Below are 8569 nucleotides of genomic sequence, written 5' to 3'. Positions count from 1 at the left end.
ACAGAGGGAAAGAGGTGCAGGAGATAAGAAAACTCTTACTTGACAAGGGCTATTGGTGATCTGGTGTTTACACCTCAAGGTTTGGCATATGCTCAAAGCTGGCCCTTTTTCTAGCAGGTGCTTCTTTGGGGTTTTCTTCTCTCTCTCTCTCTTTCTCTCTCTCTCTCTCTCTCTCTCTGTCTCTCCCTCTCTTTCTCTTTCTCAAAGCTTCCCTGGCATGCAGACATGCCCTTGTGTCCTGCTTCTCTGTGACTGCTGCCACAGCCCCTAGGAGTCATTCAGTGGTATACCCCTTGTTCCTTTTTGCATGACACCTTTTTTTCTTGTGAGTGACCCCTTGAACAGGGCTTAAGACAGCTTTCTGTCTTGTATGGCTCAGATCTATCCAAGGGAATTACTTTGCCTCCCCAAACTCAAAGGTTAGATGGTTACATTTTAAACTCTCTCGGTGGTTCTCTGAATCTCCTTGTCTCAGGCTTGAGGTGAGAAGCAGACAGCCTCTATAGCATGCTGATAACTTTCTCCAAAGACCTTCTCTTTGTCTTCAAGAATCTTCAACTCTTTTATACCTTCAACATAAGTATATGGTTGTAAGAATTATGTAACTATTTCTGCCCCCCTTCCTTTGGAAAACTTGCATTATACTGCTATATTTCACTTTGGAATATGTTTCTAGTGTTTGGGTACCTTAGGCAAAATATACTCATTTTTTTTTTCCTTTTTCTTTTTGAGAGACAGGTCTCACTAGTCACCCAGGCTGGAGTGCAGTGGTACAATGATAGCTCACTGCAGCCTCAAACTCCTTGGCTCAAGTGATCCTCCTGCCTCAGCCTCCTGAGTACCTGGGACTACAGGCACACACCCCCACACCTGGCTAATGAAATTTTTTTGTTTTGTTTTGTTTTGTTTTGTTTTGTTTAAAGGCTGGTCTTTAACTTCTGGCCTCAAGGGATCCTGCTGTTCTGGTTTCCCAAAACACTGGGATTGTAGACCTGAGCTACTGCACTGCAATGGCCAAAATGTGGTCTATAGCGCCATATTAAAGGTAAAAGGGGGAATAAATCACTTTGTGGATGCCCTGACTTTACAGACCATCATCGTGTAGGAGGTGAGGCTGCTGAGGAGAAGATGCTTTACACACGCAAGGGTTGTAATAATGACTTTCAAGGTACTCAGTCTAATCACAAAATAGAGCTTTAAAGGTGAATTATTTTTGAAATGTTCATATTTAGTATTTTCCTCATAGGCAGAATTTTGAAAGAGTGCGTATCTGAGGCCTGACATATTGTTTTGGGAGCTAAAATGTGTTTAAAATGTAACGTTCAGAGGAAGTTAACTGCTAACTTTTCTCAGTTGTAAGATGATTCCAGATTCCCATGTATATAAAATACATCAGTCTTAAGACAAATTAAACAAAATGTATTATGTATTTTCTTTAAATTATTATTTTTTGCACTTCAGGCATAAATATTTTTAAATATGAAAACTCCACATAAACATATGCGTACAACTCTGAGCTCATGTCAAAAATGTCTGCGACTGCCTCATCATAGTTTTGGAAATAAACATCTTTATTAAAAGACATTCAACAAACTTAAAATTTTTTTTAAGGGGGAGGATGGAATCAAGGTTAACAGAAGGAAGTGCCTTTAATTTTTGTATACTTTTGTAATTTGTTTTACCCCTGGAAATTAGCATGTATTATTTTTAAAATTCAGAAAAATAAAGTCAGCATTTAAAAAGGGTATATATCTTTGATGTGTTTAATGAAGTACAGAACTGATAATGATAACATATTAGGTGAAAAAGAGCTAGGTATAAAACATATGCAATAAGATTCTGATTTGGGTAAAATACAATTAGTTCAAAGACTATGGGGGAGAAACCTCAAAATGTTAGCTATGGTCAGGCACGGTGGCTGACACCTGTAATCCCAGCATTTTGGGAGGCCAAGAAAGGCAGAACAGTTAAGGTCACGAGTTTAAGGCCAGTCTGGCCAACATGATGAAACCCGTCTCTACCAAAAATACAAAAATTAGCCAGGTGTGGTGGTGCATGCCTATAGTCCCAGCCTACTCAGGAGGCTGAGGCAGGAGAATCACTTGAATCCAGGAGGTGGAGGTTGCAGTGAGCTGAGGTCGCACAACTGCATGCCTATTTTACTATTAGCAAAAAAGAGAAAAAATGGTCAGAAGAGAGACTCTTGCAGTTATATTGAGCTTTCAGTACTTTGGGCTTTTCCAATGTTTGTTTATTAAGTCCCTTTCACTTTAGGTGATAATCAAAAATTTATTTTCCAAATAATAATGCCTCATCTCTCGAGGGAACAAGTAACACGATAAAACTGCTTTTTGATTTTAAAACTGTGCAAAGATATATAAATAATGCTGTTTGTTGCATTCTTTTTTCACTCTATTCTAGGATTTGGTCCTAAAATGAAAGGAGAAAAAAAAAAAAAGACATGCAGATTCCTGACATTCTTTCCTAACCAGAATCCTGTCTAACTCCTAATATGAAATCCTTCCTCAAATATATACTAACTCCCTTTCATTTTTATTTGATGAGTTCCAGCCTATTTTTTCCTCAAAAAACTAGTGTTATCGTCTAAATTCCCTTCTTTTAAAAATATGTTTGTGTGATTTGCAAATAAATCTGTTAACCTGCAGAATGTTAACTTATGTGACTTTGAGCAAATGACATGAAGTTTTCTACTTTTTATTTGTAAAAAAGTGAATATTAAGAAAGAAAAGCCGATAGGTCTAAAATGGGTTAATAAGCATTTTAAACATTTATAAAGTTATTTGAAACATACAAGTCATTATTGTGTTATTATTATTTTCCTATTAGTCAAACATACTTTTTCTGTCTTTTGGAATGTGGTCTATTTTCATCAGCCAGTATTCTCTGAGTGACTAAACATAGTACCAATCCCATTGGAGGATTTATACATTTTAACTTAGCAGTAATTACCTTAGATGGAAATAAAACATTTTAGTCTTGATCTGCAGGAATAAGTTTAACTCTGTAAAGTAAAGGTTGACAGCCTCTAGAGCATGAGGCTAGAGGAGAAAGTTTGAAAAATGAAATGTGCTTGTATGTTGTAATATGCTCACGTAAGTGACTTGAAACTGACAAGAAACGTTTTAATAATTTTAAATAATAGGAAGTTTTTTTCTTACAGAGTGAATAGATACAGTCATGGCAGTACTATGAAAGTGTTATTACATTTTAGTTATATTTGTCATTATTGGATCATATGAGAACAATTCTAAGTGATACTGTTGTCTACCTAAACTAGTACCTAAGTAGGGTAAAATTAAAAGTCTTTGTCTTTGAATTTTTTCTGGGTTTTAGTTTATCAGTTCTGATGATGTAGCAATGCAGAAAAAAGACTATGAAGGAGTGTGTGCCTGTGTATGTGTGTATGTGTATGTGTGTTTTCCCTTTCCTGGTGTGAGTAGGTCTGATTTGTGTTCTTTGGTTACCTTGAGCAGTTCTAAATGTTCAGATAAATTACAAGAGAAAAGGAGCAAAGTACTAACAGCTCTCCAAGGTACTAAATTCTGTCTCCTATATTCTCAACATGGGTCGTGTTTTTCCACCTGAAAAGATTGAAGGCTATAATAGAAAACAATACAGAAAGACATCTTGTTAGGCAATATGCAAATTAATCTCTTGGTAGTATACCCTTTATGAAAACATACTAGGAAAATAATTCTCCCTATTGTTAGAAGAAATGGGTTCTATATTATGACAAAGTTGTTCAGAAAGTGAAAGGAAACCAGTATTTATTGTTCTAGGCACATTATTGATATATATCTATCAGTGTGTGTGTGTACATATGTATATACTGATATATATACATATATACACACTTATATACATTGTGTTTATATTGAAATGTACATATATACATTGTCTATATACACACATTGTATATATAGGTATGTACACATATAAATGATATATGTATATATTGATATGTACACATATATAATTGATATGTGTACAATTATTTACACATGATATATATATACACACACAGTTACCTTGTTATCAAATATTTCCCGTTTAATATGTGAAGAAAGGGAGTATTTGAGGCAGGATCCATGGTAATCCATCTAGTTCTAAGGACCATATTCTTTGTCCTGTATCAAGCTGTCTTTGCAGGAGTGATTGGGCAGGGGATCTGTTATCAATGTTAAACATTAGTTTCTGAGATAGTCTCTATTTTGTGCAGCTATGTTAACATTTTTGTCTGGCTTTTATAGCATGCATTACCATATCAGATCAAGTTTGCTTCATAGATCTCTGAAGTTCCCCTCAGTCCTCAGGTCAGCCTGCTCTCAGGAAGTGACATATTGTGGCTCCTATGATTGCTTTGGTTTAGATCCCTGGCCTTGCCTGGGTGTAGAGGGGCAGCAGGCAGGACCAACTGAGTCTACTTAGTATCTTTTATACTAAGTTACAGTGTAGCTGTTGCTCTACCTCTCTATCTTTGCTCCCCATTCCAGAGGAGATTTGGTTTGAACAAAAGGCTTTATCTCTAAAAATAGTTTAAAAAACAGTGTATCAAATAGTCCTTAAGATACTTTCTAGTTCTAATTTTCTGTGAAGTTAAGAAAGCAGTTTTAAAGAATGGATCCCACTATATTTACTTTGAAACATCATCTTTTAAATTTGCTGCAAAATATTTTTAAATTGAGAATTTCAGAATGAGCCTCCAAGAGCAAAATCCATGTTAAAAATCTATGAGTAGTTTGAAATGGTAAAGTATGAGGCAAACGGCATGGTTTCTATTTTATTTGGCAGAAAATGTATAATTAACTTTATTCATGATTCATGATCCTAATTTTTAAAAACATGTTTTCTTTTTATTCCTTCTGAGATAAGTGTAAGATAACATTATTCACAGTCAGAAGTCACTAGAATATACTTTATAACAGAAAAGTACTACTTCTGGCTGGGCACGGTGGCTCATGCCTGTAACCCAGGCTTTTGGGGGGCCATGGTGAGTGGATCACTTGAGGTCAGGAGTTCGAGACCAGCCTGGCCAACGTGGCGAAACCCCGTCTCTGCTAAAAATATAAAAGCTGGGTGTGGTGGTGCACACTTGTAATCCCAGCTACTTGGGAGGCTGAGGCAGGAGAATCACTTGAACCTGGAAGGTGGAGCTTGCAGTGAGCTGAAATTGCACCATTGCACCCCAGCCTGGGTGACAGAGTGAGACTCTGTCTCAAAAAAAAAAAAAAAAAAAAGTACTACTCCTTAAAGACATCATGAAGTTCATTTTCCATCTGTTCTTTTTCTCTTGAAAGTTTATCACATCCACTGACAGAACACATCTGCTGTTCCTGTTTCTTTTCCTCCATGACAGTTTATCAGTAAGGTGACTGGATGATAGAGAAAGAGAAAGAATGTTTAGCTGTAAGGTTTGCTTTAATTTGAGTTCATTTTGCCCCATATTTTGGGGGACATTTATTTAAAATTGGTGCTCAGTATGCAATAATTGATGCACACATTCCAACACTGGTCATTTATTGATGGGCTATTAATAAAGGCTGTAACTAAAAGGGACCATCACTGCATAGCAGCTCTGCCCGATAGAACTTTCTGTGATGATGGAAATATTCTACATCTGTGCTGAGCAATACGGAGCGCTTGGTATATGCCTAGTATAATTAATCCAATTTTAATGTTAATTAAATTAATTTAAACTTAATTTACCAAATGTGGCTACTGGTTATCCTATTGGATAGTGAGAATCAATTAAATTAGAAAAAATCCCCTATGCTTAGGAAATGAAAGTATTCAATTGCATTTTTTACTATTGGCACTTTTATGGCCTGAAATAGATTATAAAGTTTTGCACTTTGTAAGTTTTTTGTTTGTTTGCTTGCTTGCTTGTTTGTGTTTTGAGACAGAGTCTCGCTCTGTCATCCAGGCCTCCCAAAGTGCTGGGATTACAGGCAAGATCCACCACTCCGGCTGCTTTTTAAATTTTTTTAATTGCAAATCTCCTCAGTGCCTAGCGTATGAAAGAGTCAACACATGACTAGCTGCTATAAGATAGGTTCCCCTCCTCTGCACCCCAGATCTCCCCAGTTCATGCATCCTGGTTAAGGTCACTGAAAAAATTTTCCCCGAAGATTGTCAGAGCTGTAGCTCTGGCCTTCACAGCAATCCTGGTTCTTCTGGAAGTTAAGAGTTAAGCGGTATCTATTTTACTATGAATTCTGCTGTCTATTGTCTGACTTCTTTATTTCCATGCTCAGCACCTACTCGGTCAGGGCTGAGGTAGCTTCCAGACTTTCAGTCTTTACTCCACGATGGTCTAAGCCGAGGAACCCTGAACACTTCCTACAGGGCCTAAAGCTGCCCTAGAGCCCTTGAATGTCTGTAGCCATCTGGTTCGCTCTACCATATGCTGATCTATGTTCAGTTTGTTTCATGCAGTGTTGGCTCCTAAAATGGGTATCACCAAGCTGGACTGTGACTAATGCGAGGGATCTGAATCATGCCAAGTGATAGTTCATAGCCGACAGGACTGAGAATGCATCACTTAGAGGATGTCATTGCACAGGCACTCTTTATTTAACATACATTTATTTGTATTGTGCTAGGCACCGGGCTAAGGGCTTTTAATCTTCATAGCAACTGCATGTCCTATTATTTATACATTTTAGAGGTGCACTTTGGCTCAAAAAAGGATGTAGTGACTTTCTCCACGTCACCTAGCTAGGGAGAAGCAGCAGCAGACGTGTGCTTCCTGTCTACACTGTGGCTCTGAAGCTTGCATTCTTAACCACAAAGCAAATCATTATAGAAGAGAAAAAATATATATATATTTTTTTGAGATGGAGTTTCACTCTTGTCGACCAGGCTGGAGTGCAATGGCACAATTTTGGCTCACTGCAACCTCTGCCTCCCAGGTTCAGTGATTCTCCTGCCTCAGCCTCCCGAGGAGCAGGGATTACAGGCATGCACCACCATGAGCCACTAATTTTTGTATTTTTAGTAGAGACGGGGTTTCACCATGTTGGTCAGGCTGGTCTCGAACTCCTGACATCAGGTGATCCACCCGCCTCTGCCTCCCAAATGCTGGGATTACAGGTGTGAGCCACCTCACCCAGCCCCCAACCGACTAATTTTTGTATTTGTAGTAGAGATGGGTTTCGCCATGTTGGCCAAGCTAGTCTTGAACTCCTGACCTCAGGTAATCCACCCGCCTCTGCCTCCCAAAGTGCTGGGATTACAGGCATGAGCCACAGTGCCCAGCCAGAAGAGGAATAATTCTTTAAAATCAGTGCAGAGGGCAAATCTAAAAGAAACTGGAATTTAGGAGACTATAAGGAAGAATTTTCTAATAATTCCAGCTGTTCACCATGAAACATTTCATTAGCAGTTTGCAAGCTGAGGCTTATTGCCCATGGATCAGGAAAATAGTAGAAGGCATTCTCAAATAAGTGGGAGCTCAGAAGTGGTAAATGAGCTCTGTTGGTCTTTCCAATTCAAATTTGTAAAATTTACTCTCTTGAGGACATTTCTTATAGTCAGTTTCTTCTCATATGACTTTTTCTTTTTCCATTCAATTCATAAAGACCTTCTTTTTTGGTATAAAGCCAGAATGCAACTTATTCATGACTGAAATTGGCATAAGCAGGGTGTCCTCAGACTGTAAGCGAGCCTGTATAGGAATCCACATCATGTTTTGCTGAGAAAGAGAGTGGCCTGGATCACGGAAATTCAAAGATGATTGAAAAAGCATTTTCAGCACTTGGAAAACTTTATTTCATTTAATTAGATATTAATGATCAGTGAAAGAACACATAAGGGTAGAAGATAAAAATGTCATTAGATTCCAAGCCCAGTGCCTTCAATAATTGAGTGTGTGCTATTACTCTTTTACTATGGTCCTTAGTATTGTGATGTGCCCCTTAATTATTTCTGATATGCTTTATATGTGCCTTTATTTTCCAGGTGTTAATTAATGTGTTTTTTTTTTAAAGAAACGCATTTTCTGCTTTTAGAGAAAATGTAGTAAATATACTAACATTCCAGTTTTGATATTTGCTTGCTTTTTTAAAAGTATGTCTAGTTTCTCTAATTAAAATATAAATAGTATTGTACATATCATTGAGGATGACTTTATGGGAAATTATGGGACTAGAGAGTTTTTCTTCTCTCTTATGAGCCTTCGGGATTTGCTTTCGGAAAAAGTAATCAATATTTACTTTCATTCTGCTCACCTCACTTTTCTCCTCAGCTACTCCCTATTGTACCACCTCCACCAGCCCTCCCACTCTTCCACCAAATCATGTAATTTGTGCCAGTGATTGGAAGACATTTGCATACATAATCCCAGGGGGCCTAATATCTACAGATGCTTCCATGGAGATAGTTGTAAATTATGATTATGGAGAGAGTTTTCATTCTTGAAATAATTATCACGAGATAAGCCTCAGAGAGGAAATAATACATAAAGATGTGGCACATATGAGGTGACAATTGGGCTAGAATAACTGGAAGGATTGAATGACAAGTACAAGGGTGATCTGTATTTCAGAAG

Source organism: Homo sapiens, chromosome 10 (assembly GCF_000001405.40).
Source record: "Homo sapiens chromosome 10, GRCh38.p14 Primary Assembly".
Classification (NCBI taxonomy): Eukaryota; Metazoa; Chordata; class Mammalia; order Primates; family Hominidae; genus Homo; species Homo sapiens.
Note: the sequence above shows the minus strand (reverse complement) of the source record.